At 53.0% G+C, this 23,603-nt stretch overlaps 2 protein-coding genes and 1 pseudogene across 15 annotated transcripts in view, besides 7 other annotated features; all 3 read right to left on the reverse strand.

The window, feature by feature from the left end:
• Positions 1 to 9,079, reverse strand: part of OTUD5 (OTU deubiquitinase 5) — a 36,358-nt gene extending 27,279 nt beyond the window's left edge. For 8 of the 14 annotated variants that reach the window (NM_001136158.2, NM_001136157.2, XM_017029628.3 and 5 more), the window contains exon 1: positions 7,675 to 8,305. In NM_001136158.2, the coding sequence (NP_001129630.1) occupies positions 7,675 to 8,268 (594 nt within the window). In that variant the 5' untranslated portion in view covers positions 8,269 to 8,305. Of the gene's footprint in view, positions 1 to 5,345; positions 5,398 to 7,674; positions 8,306 to 8,929 lie in introns of those variants that run through there. The other 6 variants (XM_024452397.2, NM_001136159.2, XM_017029630.2 and 3 more) reach the window with 2 other exon arrangements.
• Positions 7,922 to 7,981: a silencer, noted in NCBI's record as "silent region_20828". NCBI's record gives its function as "represses an Ori minimal core promoter by ATAC-STARR-seq in GM12878 lymphoblastoid cells {active_cell/tissue: GM12878}" and the evidence as "EXISTENCE:reporter gene assay evidence [ECO:0000049][PMID:35858748]".
• Positions 8,352 to 8,401: a silencer, noted in NCBI's record as "silent region_20829". NCBI's record gives its function as "represses an Ori minimal core promoter by ATAC-STARR-seq in GM12878 lymphoblastoid cells {active_cell/tissue: GM12878}" and the evidence as "EXISTENCE:reporter gene assay evidence [ECO:0000049][PMID:35858748]".
• Positions 8,602 to 8,761: a silencer, noted in NCBI's record as "silent region_20830". NCBI's record gives its function as "represses an Ori minimal core promoter by ATAC-STARR-seq in GM12878 lymphoblastoid cells {active_cell/tissue: GM12878}" and the evidence as "EXISTENCE:reporter gene assay evidence [ECO:0000049][PMID:35858748]".
• Positions 8,862 to 9,051: an enhancer, noted in NCBI's record as "active region_29625". NCBI's record gives its function as "activates an Ori minimal core promoter by ATAC-STARR-seq in GM12878 lymphoblastoid cells {active_cell/tissue: GM12878}" and the evidence as "EXISTENCE:reporter gene assay evidence [ECO:0000049][PMID:35858748]".
• Positions 9,877 to 9,980, reverse strand: RNU6-722P (RNA, U6 small nuclear 722, pseudogene; annotated as a pseudogene).
• On the reverse strand, positions 12,078 to 22,542 carry KCND1 (potassium voltage-gated channel subfamily D member 1). The gene is made up of 6 exons (NM_004979.6): positions 19,849 to 22,542; positions 17,642 to 17,804; positions 17,459 to 17,542; positions 17,276 to 17,374; positions 16,753 to 17,003; positions 12,078 to 13,504 (listed from the first exon to the last, which is right to left on the reverse strand). The coding sequence occupies exons 1-6, from the start codon at positions 20,967 to 20,969 to the stop codon at positions 13,279 to 13,281; spliced, it is 1,944 nt and encodes a 647-aa protein (NP_004970.3). The 5' UTR covers positions 20,970 to 22,542; the 3' UTR covers positions 12,078 to 13,278.
• Positions 12,286 to 12,580: a silencer, noted in NCBI's record as "tiled region #12141; HepG2 Repressive non-DNase unmatched - State 4:PromP". NCBI's record gives its function as "represses a minimal TATA promoter and a strong SV40 promoter by Sharpr-MPRA in HepG2 cells {active_cell/tissue: HepG2}" and the evidence as "EXISTENCE:reporter gene assay evidence [ECO:0000049][PMID:27701403]".
• Positions 12,286 to 12,678: a biological region, named in NCBI's record as "Sharpr-MPRA regulatory region 12141".
• Positions 12,529 to 12,678: an enhancer, noted in NCBI's record as "active region_29626". NCBI's record gives its function as "activates an Ori minimal core promoter by ATAC-STARR-seq in GM12878 lymphoblastoid cells {active_cell/tissue: GM12878}" and the evidence as "EXISTENCE:reporter gene assay evidence [ECO:0000049][PMID:35858748]".

A 23,603-nucleotide genomic window follows, 5' to 3' on the forward strand; every position in this document is an offset into this window, starting at 1 on the left:
TTTGGGAGGCTAAGGCAGGCAGATCGCTTTGAGCTCAAGAGTTCAAGACTAGCCTGGGCAACATGGTGAAATCTCATCTCTACAAAAAATACAGGCCAGGTACGGTGATTCACGCCTGTAATCGCGGCACTCTGGGAGGCCGAGGCGGGTGGATCACCTGAGGTCAGGAGTTCGAGACCAGCCTGGCCAACATGGTGAAACCCTATCTCTACTAAAAATACAAAAATTAGCTGGTCATGGTAGCAGGCGCCTGTAATCCCAACTACTCAGGAGGCTGAGGCAGGAGAATCGCTGGAACCTGGGAGGCGAAGGTTGCAGTGAGCCGAGATAGCACCACTGCACTCCAGCCTGGGTGACACAGCGAGACTCCATCTCAAAAACAAATAAATAAACACCAAAAATTAACCGGGCATGGTGGCTCGCACCTGTGGTCCCAGCTACTCAGGAGGCTGAGGCTGGAGGATCACTTGAGTCCAGGAAGTGGAGGGTGCAGTGAGCCAAGATTACGCCACTGCACTCCAGCCTGGGTGACAGAGGCCAGCACTGTCTGAAAAGAAAAGAAAAGCCCGGGCACAGTGGCTCATGCCTGTAATCCCAGCACTTTGGGAGGCCGAGGCGGGTGGATCAACTAAGGTCAGGAGTTTGAAACCAGCCTGGCCAACATGGCAAAACCCCATCTCTACTAAAAATACAAAAATTAGCCAGGTGTGGTGGTGGGCGCCTGCAATCCCAGCTACTCAGGAGGGTGAGGCAGGAGAATAGCTTGAACCCAGGAGGCGGAGGTTGCGGTGAGCCGAGACTGCGCCTGGGTGACAGAGTGAGATTCCACCTCAAAAAAAAAAAAAAAAAGAGAAGAGAAAAGAAAAAAAGTGTTTGCAGATGTAATTAACTTACATTATTAAATCTGGAGATGGGGGGTTATCTTAGAGTATCAGGTAGGACCTAAATGCAATCACAAGTGTCCTTATAAAAGAGAGACAGAGGGAAATTTGATACAGACAGAAAAGGAAACCACATATACAGAGAAGGCGATGGTGAAGATGGAGGCAGAGATTAGAATGATGCAGTCATAAACCAAGGAATGTTGGCAGCCACGAGAGGCTAGAGAAGGTCTAAATTCTCCCTGAGAGCTTCCAGAAGGAGTGTGGCCCTGCCAACACTTTGATTTGGATGCAGTGAAACTGATTGTGGACTTCTGGCCTCCAGAATTGTGACAGAATAAACTTCTCTCTCTCTTTTTTTTTTTTTTTTTTTTTTTGAGATGGAGTCTCGCTCTGTCACCCAGGCTGGAGTGCAGTGGCGCAATCTCAGCTTACTGCAACCCCCACCTCACTGCAACCTCCAATCCGTCTCCTGGGTTCAAGCAATTCTCTGCCTCAGCCTCCCGAGTAGCTGGGATTACAGGCACCCACCACCACACCCAGCTAATTTTTATATTTTTAGTAGAGATGGGGTTTTACTATCTTGGCCAGGCTGGTCTTGAACTCCTGACCTCGTGATCCACCCGCCTCGGCCTCCCAAAGTGCTGGGATTACAGGGGTGAGCCACCGCACCCGGCCAACTTCTGTTGTTTTAAACCACCCAGTCTGTGGTAACATTTGTCACAACAGCCACAGGAAACTAACACACCCCCCTTGGTAGCACTCCTTGGTGTCTGTTCCCTAGTGCCTCACAGGTGTGAGACAATATGGCATGGATCCCGCTCTGCAAGGTCCACCTGCCTACCATCCTCCAGGGTGGGAGGTTAGAATTAAGGCAGCAGGGGCCTGGAATCTCCCTTCTCACCCTGGGAAACTACTGACCCTGCCTATGGATGGATGAGCTGCCACTGAAGTGGGGGTGGGGTGGGGGGGCAAAAGATGGCAGCAGCAGTGGCAGTTCATGGACAGATGTCTTCCCAGAGCCTATGGTCAAAAGGTGTTTAGCATTCTGTGACTCACAGCTCTGTCCCAGCAGCCCTGGTGCCAAGACCACCCCCTCCAGCAAAGCACCCAGGAACACTAGCCTGGCTCCATGGACAAAACACAGGGGGCCAGGCGTGGTGGCTCACGCCTGTAATCCCAGCACTTTGGGAGGCCGAGGTGGGCGGATCACGAAGTCAGGAGATCGAGATCATCCTGGCTAACACAGTGAATCCCTGTCTCTACTAAAAATACAAAAATATTAGCCAGACGAGGTGGCAGGCACCTGTAGTTCCAGCTACTCGGGAGGCTGAGGCAGGAGAATGGTGTGAACCTGGGAGGTGGAGGTTGCAGTGAGCCAAGATCGCGCCACTACACTCCAGCCTGGGGGACAGAGTGAGACTCCATCTCAAAAAAAAACACACACAGGCAACCCATCCAACGAGGAACATAGACACACTACTCTCTAAGGACCAACACAAGCCCTCCAGGGCAGAAGGGGAGAAGAGCAAGGCCCCAACATTTGGCTAGGCCACTGAGGGCAGGGGGATTAAAAACCTCTAAGATTGGCAGGGTGCGGTGACTCACACCTGTAATCCCAGCACTTTGGGAGGCCAAGGCAGGCAGATCACCTGAGGTCAGGAGTTCAGGAGACCAGCTTTGCCAACATGGTGAAACCCCATCTCTACTAAATATACAAAAATTAGCCGGGTGTGGTGGCAGATGCCTGTAGCCCCAGCTACTTGGGAGGCTGAGGCAGGAGAATCACTTGAACCCGGAAGCCGGAGGTTGCAGCGACCTGAGATTGCGCCACTGCACTCCAGCCTGGGCAGCAGAGCAAGACTCCACCTTAAAAAAAAAACAAAAACAAAAACAAAAACCAAAAAACAAAAAAACCCAAGGTCCTGTTATTCAGTAATAGAAAGGAATGAAGCACTGATGTATGCTACAACATGGATAAGCCTTGAACATATTATGCTAAGTGAAAAAAGCCAAGTAACAAACAACTGCATATTCTATTATTCCATTTACATGAAACATCCAGAACAGACAAATCAATCAAGCCAGAAAGTAGATTAGTGGTTGCCAGAGGCTGGAAAGGGATGAGGAAATTGGGGGATCATAGCTAAAGAGTGCTGGATTTCTCTTTAAGGTGATGAAAATGTTCTAAAATGGACTGTAGTGATGTGATGGACGCACAAATCTGTGAATATACTAAAAGCCACTGAACTGTACACTTCAAAGAGGTGAATAGTATGGTACATGAATTACATCTCATTAAAGTTGTTAAAAGAAACACACCCAAGGGCTCAGCACCAGCCAAGGACGCTGAACACTGCTTGAAATGTCCTAGCACAATCCCCAAAGGCCAAGGGGTCCCACTTAAAACTTTCATGAAGGGTGAGGGGAGTGGGAGCAGGGAGGAGACTATAACTTGCTTCAGAGCAATGAGTCCAACCTCCCTCCTCAACACTACCCATTTCATGGAGGGAGAAACCAAGAACCAGAAAAGAGAACTGCCTGAAGACCACAGAAAAGCTTACTGCAGAAACAGGACTCAAATCCACGTTGCCTGGGCAGAGACCCCTTCCTGCTTCCCCACCAGCTAGCTACCCAATTCCAGTTGGGGTAAGAAGAGCCCAAGAAATCAGCAGGTTCCTAGATGCCAAATGAAGGGCCTTTGCTATCAAAGATAGGTTACTAGGAGTGGACAAAGGCTCCTAGGAAGAACCAAGATGACCCTGGGGCAAACTGCCCATTCTGGGCAAGAGGAAGAACCGGCCAAGGTCCAAGGTGTGCAAGGTCAGACACACCTGGGCATGGACAAACTTTTGCAAAATGGGCAGCTGAGGGGGCAAGTAGTTTGCCTAAAGCTATAAAGCAGGTAAGGAGGAGATGCTGAGGTCTGGAGGTGATGAGAGAATTGAGGGATGATGGCTCAAAGCTTGCCTTGCTCCAAAGCCCAAACTCCACACACAACTCTACCTCTCTACACCACTATCCAACAGGCCTCCTGACAGGAAATCCCATCGAGCTTGTTCATTACAACATGGCTGCCCACAAAAAATGGCTGTTCATCAACCCTGAGCCTCACACAAAACAGGCTGCTTGTCCTGCCCACCAAGCTTGGATGGCTGAGAGGGAACAGAGGAGCCAGGAAGAGAGGGGAGAAACCCAGTTCCTCCTCAAAAGACATCCACCATTCTTTGCCACCTCCAGGTCCAGAGAACTTTGGACTGAGTTCCCTAAAATCCCAAAGCTAAACAACACCTCACCAGCATTTTGCCTGGCCAGTGAGGAAACTGAGGCCCAGAGAGCATAGGTAGAACCTACCCTGGTTCATCCAGCAAAGCCTTGAAAGACCCAGAGTTGGAACCCAGGCACCAACTACCGTGCCACACCCAGCTTTTTCCACCACCTCAGTTCACATGCCCCTTCTCAAAGAGCTCTGTGGGGTCTCCAAACTCAGGATGCTTACAGGCCAACCTTTTCATAGAGCAGACTCTCAGCAAGGCAGCCATGCCTGGGAACCCCTGACATCACCACCCACCCAGCACCTGGACCCCAGAGTGCCAAAAAGACTCCTAAAGGAAGTAGGGATACAAGAGAATCAGGACAAAGAGGAAGCCCAAGTAGTCAGAACCCCAGAATCGCCATCTAGACTCCCCCTCAACGACGCCTCTCTTCCCAAGGGATCCAACTGACCTCCAGGCTACAACCACCCCTAGTGACAGTTTAGGACCAAGACTGGGGTGGCAGGAGGAATCTTCCCTCTTCTCATCCCCAAAAGCTCTCAAGTTGGACCAGGTGAGGCAGGGAGAAGAGGATCACCTTCTTTGTCCTAAGAAGTGTGGGGACAGAAAGCCTCTCCTGTCATTGGGAAGGGCAGGTTTCATGAACCCACAAAACTTGATTTTCATATTCTTTTTTTTTTATTAGTAAAGATGAGGTCTCGCTATGTTGCCAAGCAGGTCTTGAACTCCAGGGCTCAAGTGATCCTCCCGCCTCAGCCTCCCGAGTAGCTGGGACTACAGGCATGCGCCACTATGCCCGGCTTACTCTTATGTTCTTATGGGGACAAGTATAAGGGAGGGACTGCAAGGGGCATAAGGAAGTGTTTTTGAGTTACCATGGCAGCATAGGATGTTCTTTCTCTCTGTCCCTGGGACCAGGGATGTATCGCAAGGGAGGGGAGTAAGGAGGTGTTTTTGAATTATCATGGCTGCATAGGATGTTTTTCCTCTGTCCCTAGGACCAGTGATGTATGGCTCCCTGCTTCTAGAGGAGGAAAGAAACTACCCAACCAGAGAGAGAAGAAATAACTGGTCCTGACCCTTGAGTACAAATGGCTTATCGTGCCAGAATTAATGATGGGAGGAAGGGACCAAGAACAAGGAGCTCAAGACAAGGCTTGGGGCCCCTGTGAAGTACAGAAAGATTTACCTGAGCCAAGGGGAAAAGGAATGTGGGAGGAGAATTTCCCCAGAGTGGCGATGTCCCAAACCCCTTTCCTGTCCCTGGGAAGAAAAAAGCTTGTCAAAAGCAGTTCAAAACTTATTATATGACCTAGAGGTGAGAAGCAAGCATAGCTAGGTCAGGGAGAGACTCGGAATCGCTCTTGGTTTCAGAAGGGAGGCTCCAGACTCCATGTCCCCAGGACCTGACAATCTTCTCATAGAAAGTAGGAGGACCTTCTTGGCCCTGGCCACGAGGGAGCTCTGGATAAGGGGTTCATATGACCCTGAAGAGCATCCAGGTCCTTCTGTCCAATGGGAGAGGATGACCTCACGTTCCTCTCCCTGGACAGAAAGGATTGCCTGGTGTGGTAGGAGGAGAGCCTCATGCCCAAGTGGGAGCCAGGCCCCCAGTCCCTAAGGCAAACGGTATCTTGTCCCAGAGAGAAAGCTTGGGCCCAGACTCTTTTCCTCAGAATCCTACCCTATTCATGTCCCCAAAAGGAGTTGGGAGTCTAAGGCCCAAGTCCCCGAGGCAGGAAGTCTTATGTCCCTAAATGACCCCTAAGACTAGGGTGTATGTAAGTTGTCTGAGGTGAGGTGACAGTACCCTCAGGGCAGGTTCAGAAATCAGGTCCTAAGGTGGGGAACAGGCCTTCACACACCTGAGTTATGATTCAAACCCTTGGAGGTAGACTCAGGACCCTGTTCCACAGGGATCCTTTATCCATGCCCCAAGGGAAGAGTCTCAGGGCTCAGGTCTGGGGGGAGGAGTCCTCCTGTTTCTCAGGTGTACATCTTAAGTTCCTTGAGGAGGAAGCTCAGACCTTACCTCTAGACACACAAGTCACCAAGGTATGTATGAGTCTCCTGTCCCTGAAGGAAAGCTCAAGTGTCCTTGGCAGAGTGGGTCTCAGGCCCTTAAAAGTAGGCAAAGATCTGTAGGGAGGCCCCAGACATCATCTCTGGGATCCCATGTTGCCCATGTCCCCTGAGTAGTCGTCTCAGGCTCAAGTTCCCAAGGCATGGGTCGTATGTCCCTGACAAAAAGCTTAGGCCCAAGGTGGGAGGGCCTCAAACCCCTGTTACAGAGGGGAAAATGGGATACTGTATCCCCAAGGTATGTTTCAGTTCCTTATAATTGGGGTAAAAGGGTCACATATGCTCGTGGGGTGGGGAGTCTCAGATCCCCAAAACCACTCAGACACCAGCCTTGAGAAGAAGGATCTCCTAAAGACTTCACCTTGTCTGAGACCTTTGCAGCAGGACACCAGGCCCCTGAAGAGGCCTCAGACTCGGTCTCTAAAAACCTCAGTCCATAAGCAGGTGGATCTTAGGCCCTAGGATCCAACGCTGTGAGTCTCATTTTCCTGAAGAAAGGTTCAGGCCCCTGGTGGGGGTGCTGAGGGCCCATCTCTTCTTACAAGAAGCTTAAGATCCTGAAGCGGTTCAGGCCCTTGTCTCCCAAGAGGTAGGTCTCAGGCCACTGATAGGAAATGCAGACCTTTGTCACTCAGAAAGGAGATAAGTAAAGCTGCTGGTCATTGGGTGTTGGTTTTGGTCCCTGTCCCCAAGGGCAAGGGAATCATATCTCCCTGTGAAAAGTCTTACATCCCTGGAAAAAGCTTAGAAGATCCCTATCCTTAAAGGGGGCGTGTGTGTGTGTGTGTGTGTCAGGACCTTGATTCTAGAAGCAGGACTCTCAGGCCCCTGAAGACAGACTTAGGACCCTTGAGGTCTCAGGTCTGGCTATTCAGTGGTCCTGTGCAGTGTTACCCAGCGAAGCGGGAGAGGATTGTCCTATATGCAGAGTGTCTCAGACTCTTGAAAGGGCTTAGGCTCCTTGGGGATGTTCAGCCCCGATCTCCGAGGTCTCCACCTTATTTGACTTTCCTGGAAGGGGAATCTCAAACTTCTATCCCAGAGGAAAAGAGCTCTTAAGCCACTGAACACATACCTAAGTCTCTTGGGAGACCTGAGACTCCTACTCAAGAGGGGCGCGATCCTACCTGTATCTCTTGGAGAATTCCCACCTATTGGCCCTATATGATGAGGTCCCAGGGACTGGAATGACGACTATAGACCTTAAAAGAGACCTCGGATCTTTAAGTCTGACACCTTACCGTAGGCCTCTAGCCCCAAAATCCTGGAGGGGAGGAAAGAAGGTGTCTCACATCCCTACCGCCAGAGAAGACTGTCAGGCCCAGTGAAAACGCCTAGATCCCTTGGGGCGATCTCAAACAGCCTTCCTTGAGTCCCTTCACAGTCTGGGGGTCCCATCTGCCGTGGCCGCTCACCCCTCACCCCACAGCTCTTACCTGCTCGACAGTGGCAGGGTCCATAGCCTCGATGCGTGCTGCAGCCGCCTCATACTCGTCCTCACTGTTGTAGCCTGCGCCGACCTCCTCACGCTCGGGACTGCCCCCGCCAACCGCGCCAACCCCGGGAGCTTGACGTCGCCGCTTGCTGTGCCCAGGCCCGGAGCAGCAGCCGCCCACGCCTACGGCACCACCCACACCCACCACCACGCCCGCGGCACCCACACCCGCCGCCGCTGCGCCCAGCGCGTCGCCGGGACCGCCGCCGGGACCACCTGGGCCCCCGCAAGGAGGTGGAGAAGCCTGTTGTGGCCGGGGACCCGCCACTGCACCAGGCGGCACGGCCAGCGCCCAGCGATGAAGAGCGCCCGGCGGTCCTGGTAGCGGGCCTTGAGGCGGTGGCGAAGCTCGCGGACGGGCCCCCACGACGCCGGAGTCACGGTCGCGATCGCCGCCGCCCACGCCCGTGCCGCCGCCGCCCACGCCCACACCTCCGCCGCGCCGCGGCGCCGGGGGCATCGGCCCGGGCGGCGGCGGCTCGTTGGCGGGGTCGGCGTCGGGAGGCGGCGGCTTCTTTTTGGGGAGTATAGTCATGGCTGCACTGCCGAGTACCCCCCAACAAACCCGGCGCGGGGCACGCCGGGAGAGAACCCGGATGAGGGGGCTAGTGTAGTGCGCGAGGCACGACGGGAACGGCGAGACCCGGATAAAGGGATCGCGGCACCGGTTCGAGAACCCTCGGCGGCGGAGGAGGCGGCGGCGGCGGCGGCGGCGGTGGCGGCGCGCGGGTCACGCCGAGAGGAGAACCCGGATGTAAAGTCCAAGATGAAGGCAGTGCGGCGAGTTTGTCTTAGCCTTCTCTCCAAGTCCAGCAAGTTTATTGCTACGCTTGTTCCGGCCTTCTGCTTCAAAGGAAACAGAACCAAAACAAGCACCTCTTCGCTCCGCCCCCTCGCAGGTTCTTGCACTACCGGGTGGGGCCCCGGGGCGCTGCGCACGCGCGCCAGGGCACAGCCCCGCCCCTTACTCGGAAGTACGTGGGCAAAATCGCCGCCGCCGCCGCCACAACAATTGCAACACCAACCAATTGAGCAGCTGCGTGGGACCTCGACGACGCCCACGGGCCAATCACAGGCGAGTGCTCGCCCTCCGGTGCCCTCCGTCTCAAATTTCAGTCAAAGTCGACACCCTGGTTCCCAGCCTTTCTCCCCGTCAGTTCCGTCTTGCTCTTCACTTTTCTCCCCGAAGCTCTGACCTGCAGGCGTCGGTACTGCGGACGGACAGCGTGGCCTGTCCCACGTACGACAGGAAAAACACCTCCCCTCCAGGATTCCAACTTGAACGCTGTCAGCCGGAATGACTGGAAAACATCAACACTCCCGGGAGCATAGCTGGCCCCTGTAGCGTCACTTCCGGTCCCACCCACCTACAAATACCCTTCCGGGGGAGGCGGACACCGCTTCGCCCCGGCAACAGCCTGAGTTCTGCGGTGATTGGTTAAGAGACGCCGTCACTCGCGGCATACCGACCAACCTTGGGACAGACAGGCGCCGTGGGGACAGTGGTTGTTTGGGAAACAGACACGCCTTCTCTGGCACCACAGCACTCTCGGCCTCGCGTTGACCTCCCCGCCCCTATGGCTAGTGCGCAGGCGCGGCCCAGCCTTTTTTTTTTTTTTTTTTTTTTTTTTTCCTAATTGAGACAGGGGTCTCACTCTGTCGCCCAGGTTGGAATGCAGTGGCGCGATCATAGCTCACTGCAAACTCCAACTCCCAGGTTCAAGCGATCCTCCCGCCTCAGCCTCCCGAATAGCTGGGACCACAGGCGCGCACCACTACGACCGGCTAATTTTTTTTTCACTTTTTTGTAGGGACAAAGTCTCACTATGTTGCCCAGGCTGATCTCCAGCTCCCGGGCTCAAGCGATCCTCCCGCCTCGGCTTCCCAGAGTGCTGGGATTACAGGCGTTAGTCACCGCGCCTGGCCAAGCCCAGCCTTTTTCTAAAACTGAGTTTGCTTGGGTCGATCGAGGTTTATGAAAGCTCTGTCACCAGTCAGCGTCTCAAAATGGGGTTGGCAGAATCCCTGCTATTGAGTAGCTGGAGAGCTACACGCTAATCCTAGCTCTGCCCTTCCTGTCTGAGTGATCTTTGTCAGTCATTTAAAACCCACCCCGTCCTCAATTTTTGTTGTTGTTGTTTACTTTTTTATAGAACGCTTCACGTATTTGCGTGTCATCCTTTCGCATAGTGCCATGCTAATCTCTGTATCGTTCTAATTTTAGTATATGTGGTGCGAAGTGAGCACCCATCCTTAATTTCTATTCTATAAATTGGCAATAATTCTAATCCGAGGATCAGAGATTAATGCTTGTGAAGGGCCTGGTGCTGTGCCCAGCACATAGGAAGTGTTCAATAAAGTAGTCTGCATGGTGGTGCAGTGGAAGGATCCCAGGCTTTGGAGCCAGAAAGACCTCAGTTCCAGGCACAGATGGACCATTACCAACTGTATGACCTTGAGCAAGTCATTGTGTCACTTTTGAGATTACCCATGTGTAAAACAGGAATGATAATACCTGCCCAGACTACCTCAGGGAATGGTTATGGGGTTCAGATGAGCTGATGAACCAAGAAGGTATTTGGAGTTCACTTCCAGTCTTAGGAGACAAACCATACAACAGGTTGACTGAAAGAGACCATGGGAAAGCTGTTTTGAGTATAGCCTTGCCTCCCTTGAGATACTAACCCTAGTTGAAATTCTTCCCTGAAAGGTGTAAGTAATAAATGGGCTCTAAGTAGTGTTTTCTGCTCATGAGACTTAATAGGAGGGGACTTTCACGTTTACCGGGCCTGTTGTGTTCAGGGCTCTGTGCCAAATGCCTATGCACATTATCACATTGAATCTTCTCATGATCATCTCACTCCAGCCCCATATATTTCACTCACTACACATCTAAAACTGAACTCATGATAGCAATCATGGCTACCCTTCACCAAGTACTTACTATGTACCTAGCACTGAGTGCTGACAGCTCTGATGTTCCCTTTACCAGGGAATAGCACTCCCATCCAGCCGTCGTCCAAGCCAGAAACTGGGAGTCAACTTTGACTGCTCCCTCTTCCTCAACTCCCACATGCCTGTCAATCCCAAGTCCTGCCAATTCTGCCTCCCAAATCTCTAGACTCTCCAATTCTACTGCCACTACTCTGGTCCAAGCCACTGTCCCCTACCACCTGGACTATTATAAAAGCCTCCACCCTACTTTTCTTCCTTCCAGGACTGTTTCTCTATATCCACTCTCCACAGCCAGAATGATCATTCTGAAACACAAACTTCATCATGAGTTTTCTGTTTAAGTCTTTAGAGGTCCCCACTATCTTTAGGATGAAGTTTAAAATTCGCGTCATAGCTTCAAAGCTTTTTATTATCTAGCCTACCTCTCCATCCTTCCTCTCCTCACAGCCTCACACTCTCCTCCCCAGCTGGACTGAACTACTTTCAGTTCCCCAAAGGCCTGAGCTCACTCTCCAACCTCCAGGTCATTGCACATGCTGTTCCCTCTGCCCAGAACATTGCATCCTTTCATTTGCTGCCTGGCTAACTCCAACTCATTCCCTGTGTGTTGGCCAGGTTAAGTTCTCCTGCCATCTGCATGCCTCTATAACACATGGATCTTAGTTCTGCCACACCATGTTGTAATTACTTGTCTGCCTTCCATGCTCAACTATACATCAGAGACAATGTCTACTTTGCCCACCTTTGTATCCCTAGGGCTGGCACATGATGGAAGTTAATAAATATTTGGTGACTAAATGAATTATCCCTATTTCACAGACTAGCAACCTGAGGCAAGAGAAGGTAAGTGATTCTCTCACCCAGGGATTGGAACCCAGATCAACCTGAATCCATGGTCTGTCTGCTCAGTGCTCTATAGAACTCAGCCACACACTAGCCTAGTGTAGCCAGTAGCCCAGAAGAGAGAATGTAGGGGGCGTCCACAAGGAAGGGAAATTCACCAAACAAAGTGATGCTTTTATTAGGGTTAAATTCAGGGTTGTTTGCTGTCAGGAAGCCTGGGTTTAAGCCTCCTCTAACTAACTATGTGTTTCTCTGGGTCTCAGTTTCCCGATCTGTGAATCAGGAAGCTGGCGCAGATGATATCCAAGGAGGAATGTCTCAGGACCCCCTGGCCTGTCTCACTGGCTGTAGATGAACTCCTCAAACCACACTCTTTCATTTCTCCTGGATCCCCATCTTCCAGAATACATCACCAACCATCCATCTCCCATACCTTGACCCATACCAGCCCTTCTCCTAGCCAAAAGGGATTGAAATCAGAGTGTTTTCAACCCCCAAGCCCAACCCAGCCCCCAAACCCACAGAGCCAGGAGATACTCTCAGTCCTCATCTCTCCTCTCAGGTTTTATTGACTGATGGAAACTACATCTTTGTCAGCCACCAGCTCCATGGGGACAGTGCTGGGGACAGGGAACCTGAGATGATGCCAGATTTCAGCCTGAGAGCAGAGTTTTGGAAGGTCACCCAAGAGGGAGAAGAAAGGAATATGTGAAAAGGAATTGTAGGGGAGGAGGAGGAGGAGAAGTTCCTCCTGTCTCCTATAACTCCCAAAGTTCAGAAACATCCCAGGCCGGAGCCCCTGATGCTTCTGGACTGTTGCCCAAGAACATGGAATCAGCCCATGATCTCCAAATACAGCCCAGCTCTTGCTGGTTGCCAGGCTCTTATCTCAGCCAGTCCAGACTCCAGCCCAACCCAGGAAGGACGCAAACCAGAGGAGAAGAGAGGAGGAGGAGGAGTTAGAGGTGGCCCCTCTGATTAGGGCAGATGTAAATGCTGCAGCAAACTGGTCAGAGGCTTTGCATAATGACACGGCAGCAGCTGCTATTGCTAGAGTTTGCTGGGGGCCCAGCAGAGGACAGGGTTGCGGGGTCCATTTCCAGCAGCCAGGGAAGGGGATGGTAGAATTTGTGCTATCTGAGTGTGTGTTGGGAGAGGCAGCCTGACCCCTCAGGCAAGGCCTGGGGATGGCAGGTCGCTGCAGAGGCCACAGCCCATGAAGCCTGTGTTTGCATTCCAAGCTTCAGAATCTGGGAATTGTTGGGCCAGATGGAGATGAGGACCTCTCGTAGAGGCCAGATCAGAGGTGAGGGTTCTCTTCTCTGAACCTCCAAAGCTCCATATCCCAGCCAGAGGGAGGAGGAAATCTCAACTCTCCTTCTTAGGCTAGAGCTCAGATGTCGGATCAAAGCTTTGCCTTCATCTGAGAGCCCAAGGGGAGGAGCATGCAGGAGTCCAGCTGGGAGAGTGGGGCCAGTCCCAGTGTGCTAGGGCAAGGAGGCCAGGGGCCTGTGGAAGCCCAGTGCTTCAGCTCCCACCAGGAAAAATGTCTGGGGTGGGAGGAAGTTTCTCATTTCCTGGCTACTTCCCCACTATGTGGACCATTTCATGAAACTCCATTGCATAGTTCTCAGTGGGGGGGGCAGAAGGGGTGCCCAAGCCTGCCCCTCTCTGCCTCCCAAAAATATGGCTTTGGAAAGGAGTTCCCAAAAATGAAGAGGACCCTCTGAATCAGCAGGCCTACCCCTCACAGGGATGAGATCTTGACAGTCTCGGGGAAGAGGCAAGGGGTACCCAGGCTGGAGTTCCTGAGGGTGCTGCCGGCCCTGCCACCGCCGCCAGGGGAGGAAGGTTGGCTCTCATCTGGGGTGTTGGCAGGAGGGGTAGGGATGCTGATAATGGCAGCCACGAAGTCCCGGCTGTCGCAGTTCAGGTCAAGGCTGTCATGGGGCTTGGCATTGAGGCTGGAACGGCTGTGGACAAGGGTGGAGAAGATGGAAGGCTCTTAAAAAGTTATCTTAGGCCGGGTGCGGTGGCTCATGCCTGTAATCCCAGCACTTTGGGAGGCCGAGGTGAGTGGATCATCTGAGGTCAAGAGTTCGAGACCAGCCTGACCAACATGATGAAACCCCGTCTCTACTAAATACAAAAAATTAGCTGGGCATGGTGGCGCATGCCTGTAATCCCAGCTACTCGGGAGGTTGAGGCGGGAGAATTGCTTGAACCCGGCAGGCAGAGGTTGCAGTGAGCTGAGATTGCACCACTGCACTCCAGCCTGGGTGACGGAATGAGACTCTGTCTCAACAAAAAAAAAAAAAGAAAAAAAGTTATCAGCCGGGTGCTGTGGCTCATGCCTGTAATCCCAGCACTTTGGGAGGCCGAGGCGGGCGGATCACGAGATCAGGAGATTGAGACCATCCTGGCTAACGCGGTAAAGCCCCATCTCTACTAAAAATACAAAAAATTAGCCAGGCGTGGTGGCAGGCACCTGTAGTCCCAGCTACTCAGGAAGCTGAGGCAGGAGAATGGCGTGAACCCAGGAGGCGGAGCTTGCAGTGAGCTGAGATTGCACCACTGCACTCCAGCCTGGGTGACAGAGTGAGACTCTGTCTCAAAAAAAAAAAAAAAATTAATACTTGCCACAGCAATCATGGCATTTATTGAGCACCTACTGGGTCCCTGGCACTGTGCTAAGTACTTAAGTACTTCTCCTGCATCCCCAATTATGGTGGTAAAGAGTGAGGACTCTAGAGTCAGATAGTCCTGGGTTCAAATCCTGGTCCCACTTTAACCACTCCAAACCTCTCTCTTCTCTCATCTGTAGCATGGGACGAACACTATCTCCCACCTCATAGGGTTGCTGTGGAGATTAAATGAGATTAAAAATGATACGAAGTGCTCAGAGCAGTGTCTGGAACACAATGTGCATACATATGAAAATGCTATCTCTCATGGTTACTCCTAACAGTGTCCAAGTCCTTACAAACTGTCCATAGTAGGATCTAAGGTGGGACCCTCGCTCCTTTCTGAGTTTGCCTCTTACCAGTCTCCCCCAGCTCACTCTCCTCCACCCATGATAGCTTCCTTGCTATGTCTCTAATGTGGACCCACATCTGCCTCAAGGCCTTTGCACAGGCTGTTCACTCTGCTTAGAAAGCTCTTCCTCTAGTTATCTGCATGGCCCACTCCTTTGCCTCCTTCAGGTCTTGGCTCAGTTGTCACCTCAGTAAAGCCTTCTCTGACCACACTACTAAAACTGCATCACCAGCCAAGAGTGGTGGCTCACACCTGTAATCCCAGCACTCTGGGAGGCCGAGGCAGGTGGACCACCTGAAGGTCAGGAGTTTGAGGCCAGCCTGGCCAACATGGTAAAACCCCATCTCTACTAAAAATATAAAAAATTGGCTGGGTGTGGTGGCTCATGCCTGTAATCCCAGCACTTTGGGAGGTCAAAGTGGGCAGATCACAAGGTCAAGAGATTGAGACCAGCCTGGCCAACATGGCGAAACCCTGTCTCTACTAAAAATACAAAAATTAGCTGGGCGTGGTGGCGCGCACCTGTAGTCTCAGCTACTTGGGAGGCTAAGGCAGAGAATTGCTTGAACCCGGGAGGCGGAGGTTCCAGTGAGCCAAGATCGCGCCACCGCACTCCAGTCTGGGCGACAGAGCAGGACTCTGTCTCAAAAATAAATAAATAAATAAAAATAAACATAAAAAAATAAAAATATAAAAAACTAGCTGGGTATGGTGGCGGACACCTGTAATCCCAGCCACTTAGGAGGCTGAGGCAGGAGAATCGTCTGAACCCGGGAGGCAGAGGTTGCAGCAGTGAGCCGAGATCACGCCACTGCACTCTAGCCTGGGCAACAAGAGCAAAACTTCGTCTCAAAAAAAAAAAAAAAAAATGCAGCCAGGCGCGGTGGCTCACGCCTGTAATCCCAGCACTTTAGGAGGCCAAGGCAGGTGGATCATGAGGTCAGGAGATCGATACCATCCTGGCCAACATGGTGAAACCCCGTCTCTACTAAAAATACAAAAATTAGCCGGGTATGGTGGCACGTGCCTGTAGTCCCAGCTACTTGGGAGGCTGAGGCAGGAGAATCGCTTGAACCCGGGAGGCGGAGGTTGCAGTGGGCCGAGATCGCGCCACTGCACTGCAGCCTAGCAACAAGACTCCGTCTAAAAAAAAAAAAAAACTGCATCACCACCCTGCTGTATGCTTTTTTTTTTTTTTTTTAGACAGCGTTTCACTCTTGTTGCCCAAGCTGGAGTGCAATGATGTGATCTCAGTTCACTGGAACCTCCACCTCCCGGGTTCAGGCAATTCTCCTGCCTCAGTCTCCCAAGTAGCTGGGATTACAGGTGCGCGCCACCACACCCAGCTAGTTTTTTATATTTTTAATAGAAACAGGGTTTCACCATGTTAGTCAGGCTGGTCTCGAACTCCTGACCTGTTATCCACTCGCCTTGGCCTCCCAAAGTGGTGGGATAATAGGCATGAGCCACTGCGCCCGGCCTGCTCTATGCTTTCTAGCCCCCATCCCTGACTGACTTTTCTCCTTGGTGTTTACAGCTGTTGATATGCTATATAATCTGTGTATTTGTTTATTAACTGTCTTATCCCACTAGAATAGAAGTTCCAGAGGACTGGGATACAGGGGCTTCTGTCTGTTCATTCACTGCCACATCCAAGTTGCCTACAACTGTGCCTGCCACACAGTAGGTGCTCAATAAATATTTGGTGAAAGAATGGATGAAGAGGCCAGGCGAGGTGGCTCATGTCTGTAATTCCAGCACTCTGGGAGGCTGAGGCAGGTGGATCACTTGAGGTCAGGAGTTCGAGACTAGCCTGGGTAACATGGCAAAACCTCATCTCTACTAAAAATACAACAATTAGCTGGGCGTGGTGGTGTGTGCCTGTAATACCAGCTACTTGTGAGGCTGAGGCAGGAGAATCGCTTGAACCCAGGAGGTGGAGGCTGCAGCGAGCTGAGATCCCGCCATTGCACTCCAGCCTGGGTGACAGTGAGACTCCGTCTCAAAAAAAAAAAAAAAAGAATGGATGAAGAATGAGTTCCAGACAAGATAAGCCCAAGCTTCCAGCATGGAGGGGTTTGGGTTCGAGCTTGACTTGCTAGGCCTGGAGTTATGAAATCTCAGAGCTACTGGTCTAAGCTCTGAGCTTCCCCAGGTGTGGCTAGCAGGTAGGAGGGCTGCTTACCTCTGAGGGGCATGGCTCCTGCGCAGCCCTGCCAGCATGTCCAGCTCCTGCATGCTGCCACGGCTGACTGAGGCAGTGGAGTTGGCAAGGCGGATGGCGCGGCGCTTGGCCCTGCGAGGGCAGCAAGAAGACAGCAGGCTTCCGGGTCCCACTGGCTGGGAAGACACAGAGGTGCTACGGCTGGTGCGGCCACCCGGCGAGACGGCTCCCAGGGCTTCACTGAAGGTGAGCTCATCTGTGAACTCATGGCACTATGGGCAGAAGGGAGGCAGGGTCACGGGGCATCCCATGGGAGCTGATCCCACCCTCAAGCCTTTGCTCAGGCTGTTTTCTCCTTTCTGGACATTGTTCCCTCTTCCCTTCCCTTGCCCATTCTTCAAGGCTTGGCTCTCCTGTAGCCTCTTCCAGGAAGCTCTGTGTGATTTCCACAATTTGTAGTGAGCCTCCCATCCAAGGGAGAGAGCTGGCATGGCCGCAGAGGGACCCCCTCTATTCTGCTATATCACCTCACATTAGGCCTCACCGTTGTCTTCTCTAGACAGTGCAGCAAGTGGTGATGTTGCTGTTCAAAGGCAGAACGGTTCCTGACACAAAGAGCCTGTTCCTCGCCACTGCCGCTGTCCTGGAGTAGATGGAGCAGAGCGATAAGGGCAGCACCTTCCTCCCCGTTATGGCTCACCCCAACCCTATCCAGGCCCCGACCCACCTCAAGGCCCCCATTCTGCTTGTACTGCAGGAAGGCATTGGTGGTACCACTCTTTGCCAATCGGATCCTTGCCAAGCGCACCTTCTGCAGAGAGAGGAGATAAAAGGTCAGGTGGGTAAGCCCCAAAGTAGACTGGCTTGGGGTGTGGGGAGTAGGAGGTGCTCGGATGGAAAGTGCGGTTACCTGCTGTGCTCGGCGCTTGTCAGCCCGCTGGTTCTGGTGGTAGATGCGGCTAAAGTTGGACACAATGACTGGCACAGGCAGGGCAATGACCAAGACGCCACTGAGTGAGCAGATGGACCCGAAAATCTTGCCAGCAATGGTGCTGGGCACCATGTCTCCGTAGCTGGAGCGAGGGGAGGTAGGCCAAGGTCAGGAAAAGTGCCCACCTACCTTTCAGTCCCCCACTCCATCCCATCTAATCCGGACTAGCTCTGTGACCCTGGCCAGGCACTCAAACCTTCTGAGTCCCTCAGTTTCTTGCTCTGTAAAATGCTGGGTGGCCAAGTGAGAAATGGGCCTGGCCCTCAACCCCTACCATCTGCTGCCCCTGTCCAAGCTACATACCAAGCACCTGAGTCAGCTAGAAATCTATGAAAACCAAGCAGAGGGGAGCATGAGGAAGTCACAGGCAGTGAACACAGCCTCCTGGGGAGAGAGTCCCAGCACCACAGGCCAGCCGAAGGGCTTCAAGTCCCGGGAGGAGTGTTTTGTTGGTTTTGGCTGCCTCTGTCTTACCTGCTCTAGGTAGGACCCCTTTTCATTCCCCTATAGGGGAATCCTTGAAAACTGTCCACATATGACAAAACAGGGAGGAGCCTTGAAACCCTCCTGCCTTTCTCCATGCCACCCACCTCCCACAGAGACAGAGCAGAGCCAACCTTACTAACTTGTTCACAGAGAGCTCCCCTGAAGATCAGGGAGATTCTGTAACTGACTCGCCCAAGATCACACTGCATACTCTTGTTCTGACCGCAGAACCAATCAGAACTCCTCCAGAGAAACACAGCCTCTGCAGTCTTCAGCCTCTAAGCCTTTTCTCAGGCTGTGCCCTAGGATGGCTGTTCCTTATTTCGGTATTTTCACTCATTTTAAGCATTCAGGACTCTGCTCAAAAGTCTTTCCAACTTGGCCATTGCTGGCTCTGTGATGTGTCATCTCAGAGCGTGTCCTCAACTGTGAGACATGGGCAGCCATCCACCATCACAGAGTTGTTGTGAGGACTTGAATAGAGTAAAAGCCATCAAAATACTCAGTTCCAGCCCACTGTCAGCGCTCAGTATTTGTTTGTCAGTCTGATCCTGGACCTCCAACCAGAATTGGGGTTTCTACGCTTTAGAAACCCCAAATCAACTTTTTTTTGTACCTCTATGAAGAAACTGAGCAAACCCAATTCATTCAGTCATTCCTTCAACAGATACTGAGCACCAACTGTATACCCAATCCCAGTGATGGAAACTTAGAGAAGGATCACAGCATCTGCCCTAGACAGTATCTTTGGAAAGCTCATGAGTTCGATGATTCCATTTGATACTTTTATCCCAACTCTGTTTCTTCTGCAGGGATCGACAAAAAAATAATAATAATAAAAATGCTGAAAACATCTTGTTCTGGGAAACATCAAGGAATCACAAAGGCTCAGAAGTAGTGCCCCACACAGCAGACAATTCTAGAAGGTTGGGAGACATGGGTCCCCAAAACAGAAAAAGGTGCTAGAAAGCCAACACCTATGTATCCTGCACCAGAAACATTCAGAGAACTTTCACAACTATGATGTCATTGAATCCTCTCTAGATGATGAAGGGATCAGCATTTCCCATTTTACAGAGGGGAAAACTGAGGCCATGAGAAAACGACATCAACAGAAAGAGAGCAGCTAAGACAATCCTTGAACCCAAGTCTCCTGACCTAGAAAATCAAGGCATTGTCAGAGCTGGGAGGGATCTGAAGAATTAAGTCCAGCTCCCTCAGTTTGTACAGATGAGCAAACTGAAGCTCAAAAAGAGAAAGAGGCCAGGCGCGGTGGCTCACACCTGTAATCCCGGCACTTTGGGCGGCCAAGGCGGGCGGATCACCTGAGGTCAGGAGTTTGAGACCAGCCTGGCCAACGCGGTGAAACCCCGTCTCTACTAAAAATACAAAAATTAGCTGGGCATGGTGGCGTGTACCTGTAATCCCAGCTACTTGGGAGTCTGAGGCTGGAGAATCACTTGAACCCAGGAAGCAGAGGTTGTAGTGAGCTGAGATCTTGCCACTGTACTCCAGCCTGGGCGACAGAGTAAGACTCCATTTAAAAAGAAAGAAAGAAAGAGATCATTCCTTTAAACTTCCTAATTTTACAGAAAGGGTGAGTGTAATCGGGCAGCCCCCAACGCAGAGTCCACACTCACCCAAGCGTGGTCATGGTGACAATGGTATACCAGAAGGCCGCAGGGATGCTTGTAAAGTTGGTCTTGTTTGTGCCCTTCTCAGCATAAAACATGACAGTGGCAAAGATGATGATGGCCATGGTTAGGGAAAAGAGGAGAAAGCCCAGCTCAGAGGCACAGCTCTTGAGTGTGTAGCCCAGAATCCTCAAGCCCTGTGAGTGCCTGGAGAACTTGAAGATGCGAAACACCCGGAACACACGCAGGGTGACAAAGGCGCCAGAGACATCGTCGTTCTTGGGCACCAAAAGCCCAATGTAGTAGGGCAGGATGGCCACCACGTCGATGAGGCTCATGACACTCCGCAGGAAGCGGCAACGGCTGGGGGCGGCAAACAGCCGCAGGAGGTATTCACCTGTGAATATGAGTACACAGGCTGTGTCCATGCAGAAAAAGGCCTGTGGGAAGCGTTCGCCACAGGGCTGCTCCCTTGAGGACCTGCGTGCAGAGCCGCGGCATGGGATGGTCTCCACCACATTGGCGATGACCGACACGGCGATGAAGAAGCCGGTCACATAGTAGAAAACGAGGGCTGCGGTGCTCGTGTGTGGATTCTCGAAGGCCCGCCAGAGCCGCTGCCGCAGGGAGCTGCCTGCTGGCAGGGCTGGGCCGTCCCCGGCCTGCTCTGCCTCCTCATCCTCTGCCAGGCGCTCGGCATTCTCCTTCTTTCGGTCCCGATACTCTTCAAGGCAGCAGTCACCGACTAGCTCGGGAACCAGGCCGTAGAAAGCCAGCTCTTCGTCGAAGGCCTGGATGCACTCCTGCCGTGGGCAATGCAGCCGCCCCGTTCGGTAGAAGTTCAGCACATGGCGGAACATGTCAGGGTCGCGATCGAAGAAGTACTCGCCTGAGTCAGCATCGTAGAAGAATTCCTTCTCCGAGCTGCCCAGCAAGGTGTCTGGGTAGCGGTCCAGCGTATTCTTCCAAGTCTCAAAGCGCCGTCCGCTCACGTTCACCACCAGAACCTCATCTCCTCGAGATGCCTTCACCCCCGGTGCCGGGGGCAGGGGTTGCTGGGCCAGGGGCAGCCAGCCCACTGCTGCTGCCCGAGCAAAAGGCAGCCACGTGGCCAGGCCTGCCGCCATCGTGCCACTCCCCAAGCCCAGGGAGACTTAGTGAGGGTGGCGTTTAGGAGAATGTGGCTGTCTCCAGGATGGTGGGGGCTTGGAGACACCTTGAGCCACCCAAACAAGGAAACTGGGGGTGTCTAGAGAGGCCAAGAGGAACCAGGAGGAAGAACTAAAGAGATGGGAAGGAGTCTGGGGGACATTTACAGAACCTAGGAGGGGCCTGGGCAATGTTCTGAGGGACTGAGAAGGGCCTTGGGGACATGGAGAAGAGCAGAAAAGGGGTGTGGGGATGGGGCCAAGAAGGAGCTGAGGGAGGGTTTAGAGAGACTGAGATGATTCTAAAGGAGTCAGCCTGTGCCTGAGAGGTGTCTGGGGGCGTCTAGAGGGGCCAAGAAACACGTGGGGAATTCTCTGCACTCTCAAGAGTCTCAGGGAAGGCAGAAGAGCCTGGAATTCCTTTGCAGTGGTGGAGAGGAGACTGGGGCATCCAGAGGGGTAGAAATGGGACCAGAGGTGCTTGAAAGAGACTGAGAGTGCCTGGAAGTGGGGGTTCTAGAGGGGCTGAGACAGGTGAGGAGGGTTGTCCACACCCTCAAGACTTCTAGGGGAAGCATAAGAGGGTTAGACCCCCCTCATGGATCTGGAAAGGGAGCTGGTGCATCTTGAGGGGTGGCTGTGGATCCAGGAGGTTGTAAAGAGGCTGAAAGGTGTCTTGGGACTGCCTAGAGTTGCCAAGAATAGCCCGGGGGGGTGTCTATACTCTACAGGAGTTCTGGGGAAGAAAGGAGAGGCCAGAGCCTCCTAGTAGGGCTGGAGAGGGGAAGGGGTTATCTAAAGGGGTAGACAGGGGGCTGGGTTATTTTTTGAGAGGCTGAGAGTTATCTGGGGGAGGTGGGTATCTAGACGGGCCAACAAAGCCTGGTCGACACTCTCAGGAGTTCTACAGGGAGGAAAAAGGGGCCTGGGGAATTCCAAGGGCCGGGACTCAAATGTTAGGAAGTTGGGCACAATCCCAGAGCACCCAGGGGATCTATGAAGACTAAATAAGAGGAAGGGGGTTAACCCCAAAATGGGATTAAGAGGGGGGTGGGGTGTTGAAAGGGAGTTGGGTGTGTCTCCAGGGAGGGGGGCTCCTGGGCTTTGCAGGAAGCTGGCAGGAGACGCCGGGAGAAGGCTGGGTCCCACCGTTGGGGGCAGGTCTGGGGAAACCACACCCCGAGGGGCTGGCGGTGTGTACTGGGCAGTGGCAGTAGCAGCAGCGGCAGCAGGAGGAAGAGAAGCAACCACAGCCAGGCATAGGAGAGAAGGTGGCATAGGCAGGGGGAGGGTGCGGGGTCCCTGGAAGGAGGCCTGGGAAGGGCAAGGTCCAGTGGGACCCCTGGGGACTATCCCAGGATGGGTTAGGGCGTGGGGGCTGGACCAGGGAAGGATGAGGACAGCGCTAGTGGTGGTCCCCCTCCCCCTCTCTCTCGGGGCGTCCTCACCTGTGTCCCCGCTGCAGGAGCAGCAACAGCGGTGGGGCTGGGGGTACCAAACACCCGAGCTCCTGGCCCCCTCTGCAGAGCTGCCTGAGTTCTCCTCCTCCTCTGGCTCTCTCTCCCCGCCCCTCTGAGCTTGCCGGGAGATGGAGAGGCAGGGAGGGGCCTCGTGGCTCCCTGAGCCCCCTCCCCTAGGACAGCCAGAGAGGGACCCTGGGGAGACTCCGCCTCCTACAAAGCTGGTTGGGCCTCAGTCGCGTCATCTGGAAAATGGGGGTGGCAGGGAACTTCGCCAATTCTCTCCACCTCCTTCCTGGACTCCCCTCTCTTCCTGCCCAGCTCCTACCCGCTCTGCCCCCAGGGGCCCCCACCCCCACTCGCCTGAATCAGCAGCACTTAGCAGATCCGATCGATGGGAAGGCGTCTGTTAATGGCCCCAGAGCGGAGTGCCACAGGGAATGATGCAGCGCTGTCCCCTCCCTGCCCCCCAGACTGTGGAAAGGCAGGAGAGCCAGGAGTCGGGGGTAATTGCTGGGGAGTGTTTCTCTAGATGGCCAAGCTTCCGAAGCCGCCCCCTTGAGGGGCGCAGCATGGGTTACAGCCCCAGCTCTAAGACTTCGGCTGTGGGATTGGAGCACGGGACTTCCTGTTTTTAGATATGAAATGAGGGTAAAGGGAATGTAGAGGGGGACAATCCAGGTCCCACCCCCCTACCATCTCAGGCAGGCCCCACTCCGAGGGGGTAGTCTCTCTTATCTGTCCATATCCAGTGGCCTCAAATCACACCTCCTCCGCTAGAGGGCTCTGCTTCTGGATGGCAGGAGCACTGATTATGGAATGCCTCTGGCTGGCTATGGGTGGGTTCAAACCCCAGCTTTGCCACTGACTTGCTGCATCCTTGAGCAAGTGACTTGCATTGTTTCCTCAGTTGTCAGATGGAGAGACTTATCCCAACTTGATAGCGTCATTTGGAGCATTACATGATGTGAAAGGTGATAGCACTGGACACAGCTCACACCAGGGATGCTTAATCTTAATTAAAGGAGTGTGATGACAGGGGCACTGTAATGCAGGGCCAGGCCTAGCCTTTCACCCAAGATTTACCCACCCGTGTAAACTTCCAATTGCCCATTTGGCACACTCCTGATTTGTCCATTTCTACATCCATTCC

This window comes from Homo sapiens, chromosome X (assembly GCF_000001405.40).
Source record: "Homo sapiens chromosome X, GRCh38.p14 Primary Assembly".
Taxonomy (NCBI): domain Eukaryota; kingdom Metazoa; phylum Chordata; class Mammalia; order Primates; family Hominidae; genus Homo; species Homo sapiens.

Coding starts and splice junctions, on each gene's coding strand:
- KCND1 (NM_004979.6), bottom strand. CDS start 20,969: ATGGCGGCAGGCCTGGCCACGTGGCTGCCTTTTGCTCGGGCAGCAGCA. Junction 17,805..19,848: donor GTCACCATGACCACGCTTGG/GTGAGTGTGGAC, acceptor CCCTCGCTCCAG/CTACGGAGACATGGTGCCCA. Junction 13,505..16,752: donor AGGAGCCATGCCCCTCAGAG/GTAAGCAGCCCT, acceptor CCTTGTCCACAG/CCGTTCCAGCCTCAATGCCA.